Source organism: Homo sapiens, chromosome 1 (genome assembly GCF_000001405.40).
Source record: "Homo sapiens chromosome 1, GRCh38.p14 Primary Assembly".
NCBI lineage: Eukaryota > Metazoa > Chordata > Mammalia > Primates > Hominidae > Homo > Homo sapiens.
Window position 1 is genome coordinate 78,041,951 of NC_000001.11, and position 17,461 is coordinate 78,059,411.

The 17,461-nt window shown below is 42.6% G+C and overlaps 1 protein-coding gene and 1 pseudogene across 3 annotated transcripts in view; one reads left to right on the forward strand and one right to left on the reverse strand.

Moving 5' to 3' along the window:
• Window positions 1-1,136: 1,136 nt before the first annotated feature.
• LOC100131495 (nitrilase family member 2 pseudogene) lies at window positions 1,137-2,262 on the reverse strand (annotated as a pseudogene).
• The window catches only part of GIPC2 (GIPC PDZ domain containing family member 2), a 93,475-nt gene continuing 79,033 nt past the window's right edge, over window positions 3,020-17,461 (forward strand). The window contains exon 1 of one of the 3 annotated variants that reach the window (NM_001304725.2): window positions 3,020-3,144. In NM_001304725.2, coding sequence (NP_001291654.1) covers window positions 3,127-3,144 — 18 coding nt within the window. In that variant the 5' untranslated portion in view covers window positions 3,020-3,126. Of the gene's footprint in view, window positions 3,145-4,015; window positions 4,535-17,461 lie in introns of those variants that run through there. The other 2 variants (XM_047423230.1, NM_017655.6) reach the window with 2 other exon arrangements.

Sequence of the window (17,461 nt, forward strand, 5' to 3'; positions counted from 1 at the left end):
TTTTGTGTGTGTGTGCGTGTGTGTGTCTCACTCTATCACCCAGGCTGGAGTGCAGTGGCATGATCTCAGCTCACTGCAACCTCTGCCTCCCAAGCTCAGGCGATCCTCCCACCTCAGCCTCCTGAATAGCTGGGATTACAGGCATGCACCACCACACCTAGCTGATTTTTTTTTTTTTTTTTTTTGGTATTCTTTTGTAGAGACAGGGTTTCACCACTTTGCCCAGGCTGCTCTCGAACTCCTGGACTCAGGCTATCCTCCCGCCTTGGTCTCCCAAAGTGCTGGGATTACAGGCGTGAGCCACCGTGCTGGGCCTCAGTCCTTAGTCTATATTTGAAAATTTTATTTTATTTTTTATTTTTTTGAGACAGTCTCGCTCCGTTGCCTAGGCTGGAATGCAGTGGTGAGATCTCGGCTCACTGCAACCTCCACCTCCCGTGTTCAAGCGATTCTCATGCCTCATCCTCCAGAGTAGCTGGGACTACAAGCGTGTGCCACCACGCAAGGCTAATTTTTGTATTTTTAGTAGAGACAGGGTTTCGCTATGTTGGCCAGGTCCTGGCCTGCCTCTGCCTCTCAAAGTGCTGGGATTACAGGTGTAAGCCACCACGCCAGGCTTCAGTCCTTAATTTTTAACTGTGTAAAAGAATTCTGAGACCAAAAAGTCTAAGAATCACTTGGTACAGTGATTGCTTATCTATGGAGCGAGAAAGTCTTACTAGGGGAAAAATTAAAAAAAAAAAAAAAAAAAGGGACTTTGGACTTCCAGACACTCGACCCTATCAAATCTTTTGCAGATTCATACTGTTGCCTTCACCAAATGCCACCACTGCCATTCTCCCATGGGGGTCATTGTTGACCCAGTCTTTCCCCCAAAGACCAAGAGGGTCTGGGGTTGAATGATGAGCTTCTTCTTAAATTTGAAGAGCCCAAAGGCTGCTAGGAAGGAAGGGGCTGCAACCTCCCCTAGCAAACACCAAAGATCTATCACCTTACGTCCTATAGCTACTTGTGGACAAAAAATGGAACTTTAAGGTACTGCTAGGAAAAGAATGGCATCAGATCAAGTTTTCCAGATAATGGATTCCAACTCCAGCAAGTGGGATAAGAGGTTCATGACACAAATATATTTGTATTAGGTGAATCAATCACCAGGATACCAAGATCGGTTACTTTCACAAACTGCTCTGAGGCAACTTAAATACGGAAGGAACTTCAGAGCCAGCTCTTCGGCTCCAGGCTCCTTTTTAACTACTTATTGTGGTGTGGAAAATATCAGCTTGCTGAGGATTTATCATCTTAATAGAGAGCTCCTTGGGAAGGAAAAGGGTGAAATTTAAAAAAAGGATCTTCATTAAAGAATAGGGAGTTGATTATGTTGCAGAATCGTATCTTCTTGTTTTGCGACACGTTGGAAACATAAACTTTAGAGCTTTTTCATCTCCACTGCACAGAGGTCTGATTGCTTCTGTTTAAAAATGGGGATCTGCTGATGGATTTCAGCCAGCTTCTTCAGGTCTATGTCTGAATACATGATTGTTTCTTCCTTGAGAGCCCTAGCAGCAAAGGTTCACTACAGTGCTGTGTCCCCAGGCAACATAGGAGGCTTTGTCATCTTGGGCAGGAGAATGTGGCCACATACACCTGATTATCAAGAGCCTGAAGCAATTCCCAGTGGGCTGGTCCAGTGGTCAAACTGAAAGCCCCTGGATAAACCAACAGCTGGCAGCCTTTCCGTGTGTAGATTTGTGCAAGCTCTGCAAACCAGTGTCATAGCAGATGCCCCGACTCATTCTGCAGTAAGGAGTATCAAATGTGGAGAAACTGTTGCCTGGACTCAACATTGTGGATTCTTGAAACGTCATTTTTCCAGGAACACCAGTGTTAAGCAGATGGACCTTTCTGTGCTTTACTAGTAAAGTTCCATGAGGTGCAAACACAGCATAGGTGTTATCTAATTTCCCAGCATCCTCTTCAGGGATGGAACCTCTAGTGAGGTTGTATTCCTTTGCTACTTCAGAAAGCTTCTGTGTGGATTTACCAGGAATTTTCGCTGCATATTCAGGAAAATATTTTGTGCCATATGGAGAATTAAAGCATTCCAACAAAGAAACCATTTTGGCTCCTTGCGTTGCTGTCTCCCGGACAAGGCTACAAGCTCGAGTGTTGTTATCTGATTTGATGAAGAAACTTGAAGCTGGATGAGGGCCAAGTGGAAAGTTGCCCTGGCTCTCCTGGGAAGCAACAGCAGCAGCACTGGCTGAGTGCAGGTGTCCCTGTATTACTTTTCTAAGTCACAGAAACATAAAACAAAAATGTTAAAGTTATCCTAAAGTTTTTTTTTTTTTTTCATCTCGCTCTGTTGCCCAGGCTGGAGTGCAGTGGCACAATCTTGGCTCACTGCAACCTCCGCCTCCCGGGTTCAAGCGATTCTCCTGCCTCAGCCTCCCGAGTAGCTGGAACTACCGGCATGCGCCACCACGCCCGGGTAATTTTTGTATTTTCAGTAGAGACGGGGTTTCACCATGTTGGCCAGGCTAATCTCGAACTCCTGACCTCAGGTGATCCGCCCGCCTCCACCTCCCAAAGTGCTGGGATTACAGGCGTGAGCCACCGCGCCGGCCTCCTAAAGAATTCTTAAGACTCTCCTCCCCCAGTACATCTGCTAACCTTAAGTTGAGAAATATGGATTTTCGGGACTGAATTGATGTGAGAGGTGAGGGAAGAGGAAAAATCCTGATACGACGACTCCACAATGTCTGGTCTGGGAGTGCTTGGTGATCCTATTAACTGAAATCAGGAGTAAAAAAAAGAAAAGATAGATGCAGGAGAAATGATGAGGTCAGTTTTGTTCAGTCTCAATTTGGGTTTCCTACAGTACATTCCCTTTCTGGTAGAATAAGCTGGAGTTGGAGACATTTGGTAGACAACAACGTCTGTGAAACCGAGAATGTTGATGTGACCATACAGGAAGAACATGCAAAGCTAAGTAAGAAGGGAAGTTTGTCGAGGAAAAACTGTCGGTGAATGCAACTCCTGGAGACTAGCAGTTAGCAAGGAGCAGGGTGGGGACGGGGAGAGGAGAGGTAAGGAAGCCAAAAGAGGACAAAATTTAAGAAGAATGAAATGGGCAACGCAGACCAAGTAAGATAAAAACCTAAAAGAATTACTTGTATTTGGTAATTAAGATATGATAGTGATTTCACTCCACTGAAATTGCATAGTAAGTGAAATTTCAGTAGTGTGGGGGCAAAGTCTGATCACAGTGCTTCTAAGAGCAGAGAAGTGAGGAAATTTCGTAGCTAATAATTCAAGACTGTTTTGCTTTGTTGTAAAAAGCGTAGTTGGAGGGGACTGGACTTGAAAACAATGCAATAAACGCGAGGTAGGGAATTGAGGGAACTCACACTTCACACCGAATGGCCTCAATTTTCTTTGTACTATATGAGGCAAGGTCCTCTGTAGAGACTAAGAAGGGCAGAGCTGGGGCAAATGGCTTTGGAGGCGTGCTGAATGTTGGGAGAGGAAGCAGCCCAGGAAATAGGCAAAAGGGAAACTCAGAGGTGCCAAGGACCCGGCTGAGGGGGTTTATGAATACAACGTAGCACCAAGCTCAAGGTTATGTGACTTTCTCTTCCAATTCTGCCCTGCAGAGCGTAAGACGCAGAAAATGCAGACGAAGGTTGACTTCTACTTAAATCCCTATCCCCGAAAGTCCAGACGTACGGACCCGAAGGCCTGTGGCCAAATCATGCGTGGGTGCCTACTACAGATTTATGAAAAGCAGAGAAGGGCCAGCGTGTTTGCCTTCTAAGGCGTATTGTTCTGTAGCGTCGGCATCCTCAGGCGTTCACGTAAATAGAGCCATTTTTTACAAGGAGTAGGGATAAACCTGGTGATAGGATGAGGGACTACGTAACTTTCTTTCTCTCCAGATCCATCCCGGGGGAGGCTGGGCGGGCGGGCGGCTGCTCCGGTCCAGGGGTGGAGGTCGGGGCCCTGACCCGACGCAGCCAGGCGGAAGCGCGGCTGCCATTGGAGGCTGCTTTTACCTGCGCGGGGCCCGGGGCGCAAAGTCCGAGGCGCCGGGGGGAGGAGGCGGCGGACGGCAGCGCAGGTGGGCCCGCGCTCTCGGCCCTGCAAGATGCCCCTGAAGCTGCGGGGGAAGAAGAAGGCCAAGTCCAAGGAGACCGCCGGGCTGGTGGAGGGCGAGCCGACGGGCGCGGGCGGCGGGAGCCTCTCAGCGTCCCGGGCTCCCGCACGCAGGCTGGTCTTCCACGCGCAGCTGGCGCACGGTAGTGCCACGGGCCGAGTGGAGGGCTTCTCCAGCATCCAGGAGCTCTACGCCCAGATCGCGGGCGCGTTTGAAATCTCGCCGTCGGAGGTAAGGCGCCAGGTGCTCAGGCTCTCCCGCCTCTCCGCCGCGCCGCGCCGCGCCGCGCGTATTTCTGTGGGCCCAGGAGGGTTGAGCGGCGTTTCCCGGAGCGCGAAATCCGATGCCGTGTTGAGTCCGCCGGGGGCGTCCCGGGGGAAAGTGAGTGTGCCTTCCCTGGAAGGGAAAATTTAACTTGGCAGGACCGCAGAAAGTCACAGTCCCCCTTGCTCCGAGATCTGGCCTTTGGGAAGCGGGTTGAGGGAGGCAACCTTTCTTCCGCTTGCAAATGTGTTTGCTCCAGATGTCCCGGATTCCGCCGGCCGTTCAAGGCGTGAGCACCTTCCCAGACTCGAGATCTGGCGGGGCAGATTAATACCCTCCACTTCATCTGGACTTTACTCTCCTGTTTCCTCCGCAGGCGTGAGAGTCACGCAGGTCATCTCCCTAGATTAACGGGGGAAAAAAAAAATAGAAGTGCCTTGCAGGTGATACCCAGATTAAGTGGGGGGGAAAACATTGAAGAGCCTTCCAGGTAATACCAAACGGAGGCCCACTTTCCCCCAATCTGTCATTTCTAACATCAGCACCAGAAACCCTTTGGTGGTATTTCCAAGAAGTTTAAAAAGCTGGGCTGTTATTCCAAGAGTGGATAACCTAGAGATTCATACTTAATCACGTGGGACTAGTTAACAAAATTTTCATGAGGAAGATCAGCTCTTTTACATCGTATCCTTAAAAAGGGACTGAAATTTGCTTTAATTAGATTTCATGGGGGCCTGGAACTAAGTTTGACACAGGCATGACCTAAAGCACTAGTTTATGTGAACGTTTATGTGACCACTTTATTTGTGCTAACCCAAGTGAACTGCAAAGGTAGGTGTGAAAAGTTAGCTCAACAAAATATTTTGTCCACATTTCTAGGAAAAGCATATAATTTTGTTGCCCTGGACTCAGAGGAGTGCAGAGAGCTGTCTTTGAGGCCTACAGCGGCACCTGGAGTTCTTTAATTAGTTGTTTATCAGGTCTGTTCAAGGGAAATTGAGGTCAAGGCAAAATTCCAAGAGGAGACGAAAGAGAGCTTAAAGTGTAACCCTTTGTTCTTTCGAAGTTCCCAGGCACTAAGGGGCAAATCGCAAACCCATCTGTGAATTATTTGTATTGATATAGGATACTAATAATACTTCACATTTATATAGGATTTTTTTTTTTTCAAAAAACACTTTCACAGGACACTTTCCTTTGATCTCTAGGGGAGGCAGGTGGCAGGTTAAATACGATAACTTGGACATGGAGCCAGGTTCTACCCTTTACTAGCTGTGTGGACTTGAATGAGTTTAACTTCTCTCAGTTTTCGCCATCTGTAAAATAGAGATTAGAATATTTGTCTTGAAGAGTATTGTGAAGAGTGGAGTCCGTATGTAAACGTATCAGATTGCATAGTTTATGGTTAGGGCTTAATACATGGTAACTAATATGATTAATACCTAACAGTTAAATGAAGGACTGAAGTACAAAGTGATTGGCCCTTAGCCAAGGTCACATACCTAGCAAAAAAAAACTTGACTGTAATTTAAACTTGGATCTTCTGATTCCTAAGCTAGTGAGCTTGTTAGCATACTTAACTGACAACTTTAAATGTCTTTGCTGTAACCAGGGACTTCAGTTTTAGTTACAGATGGTCCTGGGTTTATGATAGTTAGACTTAAGATTTTTGACTTCGCCATGGATTTATTAGGATGTAACTTCCTGGACTTAAGATTTTTCCACTTTATGGGTTTATTGGGGTATTAAATGCATTTTTGACTTATGATATTTTTGACTCACAATGGATTTATTGGGACATAACACCTTGGTAAGTAGAGGAGCATGTGTATTTTGCATTAACACTTCTCATCATTATATATGACATTATTCTGAGCTCAAGGTACATGATTTTATTCAATCTACTTAATCCCTAAGAAGTAAGTATTATTATTAATATCCCCACTTCACAGAGAGGAAACAGACTTTGAGGTTCAGAATTTTTCCAGAATTACACATAGCAAGTGGCAGAGCCTGGATTTGAATTCAGTGTATTCTTTTTTTTTGTTTTCTGTTTTTCTTTTCTTTTTTTTTTAATGAGATGGGGTCTCACTCTGTTGCCCAGGCTGGACTGCAGTGGTGCGATTATAGCTCACTATAGCTTCAAACTCCTAGGCTCAAGCAATCCTCCTGCTTCACCCTCCCAAGTAGCTGGGACTACAGGCATGTGCCACCACATCTGGCTAATTAAAAAAACTTTTTTTTAGAGATGTGGTTTTTCTGTGTTGCTCAGTGTGGTTTGAAACTCCTACTCTCAAGTGATCCTCCTACCTCAGTCTCTTGAATAACACAGACACGGAGCCATTGTGCCCATCTTTTTTTTTTCCTCCCATGAAGCTATATTGTTACCCAAGTTTTCCAGAGTCTCAGCAATAGCTTGGTAGCCACGTTCAACATTTTCAGTGCACTGACTTGCAAGGTCAGTTTCCAAGATAATATACACGAGTTGTTTTCATGTGTTAGATCAAAGTTTATAACATTTTATAACCCGGGTATATGGGTAAAACCCCAGTTTTACCATGTTTATGCATATAACCAACATTAATGCAAGTTTTCCATCTGGATTAGAAAAAGTTAATTATATGCAGAATAAAGTATTGGTCATCATAGCATAGTACGCATAATATTTCAGTGGTTCACTCTGAAACAGAAGTAACTCACTAAAATGAAATGCACACCAAGGAGATTCCATTTTCATAGCCCATTTCCCCAGCAAGCAATTACCTCAGCAATAATGATGTAAACAACTTTTTTTGGTTGGTTTTTGTTTTTTGAGATGGTGTCTTGTTCTGTCGCCCAGGCTGGAGTGCAGTGGCACGATCTTGGCTGACTGAAACCTCCACCTCCTGGGTTCAAGTGATTGTCCTGCCTCAGCTTGCCTAATAGCTGGGATTATGCACCACCATGCCTGGCTAATTTTTGTGTTTTTAGTAGAGACGGGGTTTCACCATGTTGGCCAGGCTGGTCTTGAATTGATATCCTGACCTCAGGTGATCTGCCCGCCTCGGCCTCCCAAAGTGCGTGAACCACCACGCCCAGCCCTGTGATGTAAATAACTTTTGAGATGTCAGTGGGGACAAAAACATTTGCCCCCCTTAATGGGATTGAATAGATAGTTAACTCAGAAGTCCTGCCTTTTTTCTAGAGTGGTGGCTGTAAGGATATAAATAGCACTACATGAAGAGCTAGCCACTCTTTATTGAGGAGAAAGGGAAAAGACTTGATGTCAAGTGGAGCAGATAATCAGGGCCCATAATGTGCCCACAGCTGTGCTAGGCCTGTAAGCCTACAGTGTGTTCACTCCATCCTCACCAGAATCTTTTCATTTTACAATTTAGTGAAGTGAGACTCTGAGAAGTTAAATAGGCTGGTATGTGGCTGAGCCAGGATTTGAATTCTGGTTTCCTGGTTCTAAGTCTATTACATAGCAGCTGTGAGATTCTTGGTAGCTGCATTCAAATTCCAAATACGAACCCAGAAAAACCTCTTTTTTTTTTTTTTTTTTTTTGAGATGGAGTCTAGCTCTGTCGCCCAGGTTGAAGTGCAACGGTGTGATCGTGGCTCACTGCAACCTCCGCCTTCTGTGTTCAAGTGATCCTCCTGCCTCAGCCTCCTGAATAGCTGGGATTACAGGCACACGCCATCATGCCTGGATAATTTTTGTGTTTTTGTAGAGATGGGGTTTCACCATGTTGGCCAGGCTGGTCTCAAACTCCTGACCTCAGGTGATCCGCCCACCTCGGCCTCCCAAAGTGAGCTGGGATTACCGACGTGAGCTACTGCACCTGGCCGGTTCCAAGTCTATTACATAGCAGCTGTGAGATTCTTGGTAGCTGCATTCAAATTCTAAACACTAACCTGGAAAAACGTCTTTTGTAAACAAATTTTTTTTTTCAATAAAAGCCTCAGACTTAACCACAAAAATATTTATTGCCTCAAAAAGATGTTGATGTGAGACTGACAGTTGTGGACTTCAGCTAGTGTTTTGTGGTCCCTGAAGGAATAAGCTAATGAAGGCTGTGAATCAGTTAAGATTTGTTATTAAGTTGAGACAGATGGCCAGTTATGCAAAAATCCCTCATATCTGATGCCTTTTTTCAAAACAATTAAATGAACAATTCAGTAAAAAGAAAAAAAACCCTGTAAATTAATCTCATCTAAAGAACAATTAACTCCTACATAAATGCAAAGACTCTTCTTGAGAAAGTTTAATACATACCATCTTTTTTTTTTTTTCTTTTTTTTGTGACGGGAGTCTCGCTCTGTCGCCCAGGCTGGAGTGCAGTGGTGCTATCTCAGCTCACTACAAGCTCCGCCTCCTGGGTTCATGCCATTGTCCTGCCTCAACCTCCTGAGTAGCTAGGACTACAGGTGCCTGCCACCATGCCCGGCTAATTTTTTGTATTTTTAGTAGAGGCAGGGTTTCACTGTGTTAGCCAGGATTGTCTCGATCTCCTGACCTTGTGATCTGCCCGCCTCAGCCTCCCAAAGTGCTGAGATTACAGGCGTGAGCCACCGTGTCCGGCCAATACATACCATCTTTTAAAATATCCAGGTTACATGAAACTCTCGAGCTATGGTCATACATTTTGTTGAAGGGGCATTTTGAATATTTGACTACTGTAATTGTTTGGCAAGTAGTTTTTACCATGATATATTTTCCTAATTCTCTATTATGTGGAAATATTGTAGGAAAAAATAATGAATGTGAAAACTTAAGAAAAGACGTATAATAAAAAAAAGAACCCCACTTTGCTCAATACATTCATTTTGTAAAATGTAAAAAAAAAAAGAAATGATGTCATCATTATTGATCCTTGGACATTAAAAGAATAACAAAGAAATATTATTAACAAAAAAAAGATAAATTTTATAGTTAGAAATTTTACATGTCCAGAAACTGGAAATTCAGATGCAGTTTCTCTGCAGAATTCAGAAATTACTTCCTTTTACTTGTTTAGATTAGTTTGCGTGTGATATTAGATACCAAATAGTTCATTGAATAATAAATGAGTAATTCAGTGACTTATTCTCTCCCCATACATAAAGCAGTCAAAGAAAGCAGAGTACTTGAGAAGCAGAAAAGGCAAGAAGTGTTATTCTTTTTTTTTTGAAATGGAGTCTCACTCTGTTGCCAGGCTGGAGTGCAGTGGTGTGATCTCGGCTCACTGCAACCTCTGCCTCCCGGGTTCAAGTGATTCTCCTGCCTCAGCCTCCTGAGTAGCTGGGACTACAGGTGCATGCCACCATGCCCAGCTAATTTTTGTATTTTTAGTAGAGACGGGGTTTTGCCATGTTGGCCTGTCTTGAACTCCTGACCTCAGGTGATCTGCCTGCCTCGGCCTCCCAAAGTGCTAGGATTACAGGCATGAGCCACCGCACCTGGCGTAGAATTGTGATTTTTAAGGTGAGATTTTATCCTCACAAGCATGCTGTTATTTCTCTTAAACAGACAAACCTTCTTTTGACACCTGTTCCCATCCCCTGTATTACCACCTCATTTCTCCTTTTTAGCAAAACTCTTCAAAAGTTGCTGTCTCTGAGATACAATTTGTATCTCATTTTCTGCTCTAAACCTTTCATGGCTTCCCCTCTCACTTGGAACAAACCAAAATACTATGATGGGCTACGGGCTCTGTTACCTCTTCAGAATCGTTGTTCCTTCTGCTCCAGCCAGACTGGTCTCCTTGAATGCTGGAGCCTTAAGACTTTTGCATTGGTTTTTGCCTCCGCCAGAACCTCTTCCTACAGAATGCCCTTCCTTAAGTCTGTTCAAATGTCATCTTCTTGGTGAGGCTAGCACTGATCATCTCTAGGTGCAACACTCCCTGTTCCCTTCTCTGCTTAATTTTTCTCCGTAGCATACTATCCTATGTATATTTAACTTATTTTGTTTATGGTCTGCCCCCTTGCCCCAATAGAAGCTCCACAAAGGCAAGGATTTTTGTCTTTGTTTACTGATGTGGCCCTCAAGGGCCTAGACTTTGCCTGAAACATATTATAGTTGGAGTTTAAAAAATAGTTGTTGAATAAAAGGATCCTCACCAATTCAGTAGTTAAAACCTAGTGTCTTTAGCATAAAGCTTTAGTATTGATTACAATACTAATATCTTATGTAGGTGTTAATTTTTTTTATGTTCTGCTATGAGGAAAGAGACTAGCCTTTAGGTGGGGGTAGTGAGGAACATCACTCATATCTTTAAAATTTTTTGAAAATAAATGTATATATTTAAGGTATACAACACGATGTTTTGATATAAATAGTGAAATAATTATTACAGTCAAGCTAATTAATATATCCATCTTAGAAACTATGAAATTTGAGGCTCTGTTTGCAAGCATAGTCACTTCCTAAATGAGTTACAGCATATGAGGAGCTGCTTCCTGAGGCTTCCCAGAAGCTGCTTCCTTTTCTCAACTTGCTGACACTAGCACTGAGCTCTTTTGAAAGTCAATATTCTGTATTTATGTGGTACTTCTAGAAGACATGAAATGTTCTGCAGACTTTATCATTTCCCAGCAGTGCAAATAACTGGCAAGTGGAACTGTTATCTTTCTGGTTCACAAATGGGAAACTAGGACGAATAGAGAAAATAGGGTTTTACTGATTTGCATATAGCACCCCCTGCCCTGGAAAAACAAGTTACAAAAATCTACAAAAAATGAAAGAATTGGGAATTGGGTGTGAATATTACTATTGAGGTCTGAGGAATATGAAGTAAGCCCGTCAAAATTGAGTAGAAAAAGTGTGAGAAGCAGTCCCTGACATCTGGTAGGGGCCTTGGCACTTGCAGGAAGGCCTTGGCATTCTGTTGCACATAAACAATTGCACAGCATGTCAACAGCAGATAAGACTGCTCTGACTGTGGTAATTTCTCCTACCTTACAGATAGGTTTACTAAGATTCCTGGTCATAGAATTGCACCCATTTCCTGACAGCACCCTATCCAGAACAAACCCATGCTTTGGACCCTCTCCCAAATCACCTAACACAAGCCCAAATCCTTTGTAATGTCTCTTTCTGAAACCCCCAGGATTTCCCATAGAGTGCTGTCACCCTCCTCACAAGGAGCAATAAACTGCAGGTGAGAATCCCTGGTGGTCTTTGCCTGGAAGGTGTTGGCAGTTGTCACTTGTCACTGTTGGGTTATTACAATGCAGATTCTAAAGAGGCAGCCTGAATTTGGTTTCCCTGACTCCACTCATCCTCTTTTAGTATTTTAATGCTGTGATCATACCAGTCTAATCTTAGCACTTTGGAAGGCTGAGAAGGGAGAATCCTTGAAGCCAGGAGTTTGATTGACAACAGCCTGGGCAACATAGTGGTACCCTGCCTCTTAAAAAAAAAAAAAAAAAAAAGCCAAAAAAAAAAAAATTAGCCAGAGGTGGTGGTACGTACCTGTAGTCCCAGTATTCAGGAGGCTGAGGTGGGAGGATCACTCAAGCCGGAGTTTGAGGCTGCAGTGAGCTATGATTGTGCTGCTACACTCCAGCCTGGGCAACAGAGCAAGACTGTCTAAACAAACAAAAACCTGCAAGGGGCTCCTCATTACTTACAAACCAATTACTACCAGCCAAACAATGTCTCATATTCCTGTCTGCCTCTTGAGTCCTCTCCTATGCCCACTGTTCCAATCTCACTTCTTAATAATCCCCTTTACATTCAACAATATTTAACTGTTTCATTCCATTGTGCTTTTTCTCATGCTGTTCTTTGTTCCAGTAACTCCTACTCACTTTTCTAGTCCTGTAATTTCCTCCAAGAAGCCTACCCTGTGAATCCAGAAATCTGGATACCTGCTATTGCATGATTTTTAACATAGCATTTGCACATAAGATTGAATTTAGTTACTCCTCTGTTTCTTCCTGAGGGCTGGGACTTTTTTCCTTTTTAAATCTTGTTCTTAGATGGTTAGCTAGATGGTTTAGCTGCTCCTTAAAAGTTTACTAAATAAAAGTAGATAATGGATATAGTAGGAGAGAAAGCTGAGGATATAGATAGTAGTAAGACTACAAATGTCCTTGAAGTTGTATGGATTTTATTCTGTAGGCAATGAGAATAACTCAGATCTTTTTCGGAAGAAGCAAGGATCCCTGACACATATTTTACAAAGTAGAAGCACACTCAACCATTCATTCTCTGTATTTTCTTTCTAAATAATATTCAGTTTAAATGGAATATAATGGTATTTTCTGGATTTACATCATACCATCTGAGAAGTTATAAATATATCACAGTCATTATGTAGGCTTGATATCCCCTCCTGAGCACCAGCCTCATTTTTATATGAAAAATTCAGGCAAGAAAAACATGACTCATTTTGAGAAGTGGGAGGAGAATCCAACCAGCTGCCTTATAGACCTCATTGCTGTCAGGAGGGTATGAAATGGATAAGACTGCTGTTGTGCTAGAAGTACCCTGAAGAAGATATCTGAACAACCCTAAAATAAAGTTTACACCCTTGGGCAGGGGTAGACTCCTCTTCAAACCCTGGCTACCTGTAGGTTAATAGCCAGCCCCTTCACATTCTCCCACCTGCAATCACCAACCCAGCTACCCTGAGTGGAGTGGAAGGCTCTTGCAGGTTATCTTGGGCAATTTGTATGTATGTATATGTCTGTCTGGCTGCTGTAACAGACTATCAAAAACTGAGTTGCTTCTAAACAACAAAAATTTATTGACTGGGAAGTCCTAGATTGATGTGCCGGCCATGTGGTATCTTGTGGGAGCCCACTTCCTGGTTCATAGACAGCCATCTTGTTGCATCCTCATGTAACAGAAGGGGAAAGGGAGCTCTCTCTAGGGCCTCTTCTATGCAGGCACTAATCCTATTCCTGAAGGCTTGACCCTCATGACCCAGTCACCTCCCAAAGACCCCACCTCCAAATACCGTCACCTGGTAGGAGGTGGGGGATTAGGCTTGGGGACACACACATGTTCAGTCCATATAAATATTTATATTAAAATGTATAGGGAGGTAAGGAAGCTTAGGACAGCTTCTGCAGCTGCACAGTCAGGTTCCATGGACAGTTGGAACGTTGCTCATTCTGTTCAGGTTAAAGCAGTAGCTTTATACTGTAGAGAACTGAGAGCAAGTCTAGTTGTCCTTAACCTTCCATCTCAGCCTCTCTCTCTCCCTGCTTATTCTACTTTTGACTGATTCTTTCTTCTCATCCTCTTGACTTTGCTCCTCCCATTATTACCTCACCCCACTGTGTCTTTGTGTTTCTTTACCTCTCTACTTTCTGTGCCCTGCCTGTGTATCTTATTAAACTTCCTAAGAAAGAGTCTTTGTTGTGTCAGGGTACAGCACAGGTGGGACAGGACCCTTGGGCCTGTGGGTCAGGTTCATCTCTGCTCCAGCCTACAGGGTCATGTGGTACAGAGGTAGGTGAGCAGTGGATAAGGAGTCCTGCAGGAGAGAGCTATGCACATGGTAGATATTCTGAGACATCTTGATTTAGGGGAACGTAAATGGCAGACACCTTCCATGGCCTGTTTAGAAAACGAAAGTATTTTCCGTTCTCTATGACCTTTATGCATTGTTCTCTTTATCTGGAAATCTCTCCCCTACTCTTTCCCTGTTAACTCCTACTTGTGCTGCAGGACTTGCAGGTCATTACCTGAAGCCTCCCCACTACCTCAGGACTGGGTTCTGTGCCTATCCTCTAAACTTCCATAACTCTTATCAGACTTTATGGTCATCATTGCTTTAATGTCTGTCTCTTCCATAAGATTGAGAGCCACTCTGGGCAAAGACTGGCAGTTAGTATGCAGTAAAACTTATGGCTGGGCATGGTGGCTCACGCCTGTAATCCCAGAAGTTTGGGAGGCTGAGGCAGGAGGATCACTTGAGCTCAGGAGTTCTTGACCACCTGGGCAACATGGTGAAACCCCGTCTCCACAAAAAATACAAACAAATTAGCTGGGAATGGTGGTGTGAGCCTGTAGTCCCACCTACTCGGGAGGCTGAGGTGGGAGTATGGCTTGAGTCTGGGAGGTGGAGGTTGCAGTGAGCTGAGATTGCACCAGTGTACTCCAGCCTGGGCGACAAAAGCCCTGTCTCAAAAAAACAAAAGAAAAAATTATTACAGAAATTTTAAATACATGCAAAATCAAGGAAATAGTGTAATTAACTCCATGTGCCCAGCTTCGACAATTGTCAACATTTGCCAACATTTCTTTTCTTCCCTCATTAACAAAATTTTTATTAAATATAACACAAGTAGAGAAAAGCACATAAAACAAATGTGTAAATTAATGGATAAATTGAACACCTTTGTAACCACACCTGTGTCAGGAGATAGACTTTATCAGCCTCCTGAGAACCTTCCATGTGCCCCTTCCCACTTGCACCCAAGAGTAACAACCATCCTGACTTTCATGGTAATGAATCCCATTATATAGTTTTTTCATTTATGTGCTTTCCTAAACACCATAATTTGGACTTCTTTTAAATATGTTTTTGAGTCTTTTTTAATCTATAGATTCCCCTTCGTCTTGTTCTCTTTCCAGTGTATTTGTTGAAGCAGCCAGATCTTTTACCCTGTGTGTTTCACAGTTTGTTTTTTGCTGATTGCATTCCTGTAGTCTAGTTTGGCATCCCCAGTCACTGTATTTCCTATAAATTAATAGTTGTAGTCTAGGTTTAATCAGTTGGGGTTTGATTTTTTTCCCGATGAGACAATATCAAAAGTGTAGTTAAAATTTTATATTGAATGAATAAAATCAACAGATAAAATAGGGGTCTTACCTTTTAAAATGTCATCAGTTCTATTCTACTGGAATAGACTCCATCCCATTTTGAAAAGTCTCTCCTATGTTTTTTATTTCAGTTGTCTGTACGGTGAAGCAACTGTGTTTTTCTATAACCCTCTGAATGTATGGCTGGGACTATCTGTGAGCCCTTCATCCCTAAGAAACCCTCTCAGCTATACCCTCAGCAGAGCCAGATGTGCTTTTCCTACATCTGAATGCTGGCAGAATTTTTCTGATGCATAATTGTACATATTTATGGGATATGTGTGAGATTTTGATATAGGCATGCAATATGTAATGATCAAGTCAGGGAATTTAGAATTACTGGTGGAATTTTAATTTTTCAAAAGAAATCACTGTGGAGATATTTCTTCCTGTTATGTGTATAAAGAACCAAATACAGGGAAGAAAGAACTAAAAACCCTGTAATAAAAGGTGTGTACCATGTCAAAAAAGTTTACTTTGATCATTTGTACATGTTATGAATTTATAGCTGGAAAGAGTGATTATAATACAGTTTTAAAATGGAAGGTAGATAATTTAGGCATGTTCAATCTTATTCTTCATTAGAAAACTTATTGGTTATTGGCTTTGTGCCAGTCACTGCCCCAAATGTTGGGATACATCAATGAATAAAACAGACAATAATCCTTGGCCACATGGAGCTTACATTCTAGTCCTCCATCCTATGAGATGGGTACTTCTTGAGTCAATGAGACTGAATGCAATAGACATTGTTGGGTTATTCTCTGAACTCTTATAAATTATAGGTTTTCTTTTTATACCCACATTTCTTGCCTTAAGGACCTAGAAAAAAGGACCTAGAAGCTTTTGCTAAGCAAGAGGAAAACATAAGTATGTTTATACTTTTTGCTGGAAAATGTTCCATCATTTATATGGCCACTCTTAATACCTCCTCTGTGCCATATACTCTTAAACCTCCCTTCTGTTTGGAAGCATGGAATTATAGTATAGCTTAGTGGTTAGGAGTGCCGCTTACTATCTCTGAGACCTTGGGCAAGTTATTGGCTGCTCTTTGTTTCTGTTCCTCATCTGTTAAGTGGGGTTAATGATACTTGTCATCACAAAAGGTTGTCGTGAGGGGTACATGAAAAATCATGTATGTAAGATCTGTGCCTGGCACATAGTAGGTATTTTTTAAATGGTAGTTATAATTGTAGAGTTGGAAGAGTCTTTATTGTATTCTAACTTTTGAACTTGTTTACCAAATAGACAACCATCTTTAGTTACTTTTAACTGATTTTTTTTTAATTGAAGGATTCACTCAGAGCGCTTATTAGGAGTTCAGCATTGTGCTTGATGCTGGGAACTTAAAGGTGAAGATGACATAGCCCCATCCTCCAGTGGAGTGTGGTTCAATGACAAACAATTTGACAAGCTAGTGTGGGTTTCCTAAAATGTGTTCCAAGCAACATGAATCCCTTGACATATTATAGAAAAAATGCCTCCAGTTGTCAAATAACTTTGGGAACTGTATTTTGTAAATTCATGATACATATTAATGGCTTTGAGAAGTCCACTAAAAATTTAAATATCCAAGAATCTTGGTGTTTATTATTCCCTTCACTTATTTGAGTATCGTGCTCTCCCTTTTTTCCTGCATAACAAACACTCCGTGGACCAATATTCCAAGATATATACTTCAAAAAAATGCTGGTATGTTTTTTCAAAAATGATTCATCAGTTATTCTGTGATAAAAAGGGACTCTATGGTAACTCATAACGTTCTGTTATAGTGAATGCCCATTTAGCACCAAAGAACTCTGCCAAATAGCTTCCATTTCATCCTTGTCCTTTACTGATCGTTTTGCTGCCCTGTCCTCCTCACTATCCAACTTTGGGCAAGTCTTCCCTCTTGTTGGGGTGGGTGAACTACACCAGTGGTTCCCAAAGCCAGTTGCCTCTTAGAATCACCTTGGTGACCTTTTTAAAGAACACAGGCTTCTGGGCTTCACCCCTACAGATTTTGACTAGGGCCTGAGAATGTTGTCATTTTAAAAAAGCTTCCCTGATATACTTAGGTGGCTGGCCTGTCATCCATTGGTAGATTGTGTGTTTGGGAGCCACTGAATTAAATGAAGAGATCCAAGGTCTTTTCTAGCTTGAATGTTCCTCCAGAGCTTGTGCATTCAATTAAAAATATTCCAGTGTCATCTTTATGTACAAAGTATTGAGGGACATACAATGATGACTATGACAGTGTTTTGCAAGTGGCTTGACTATAG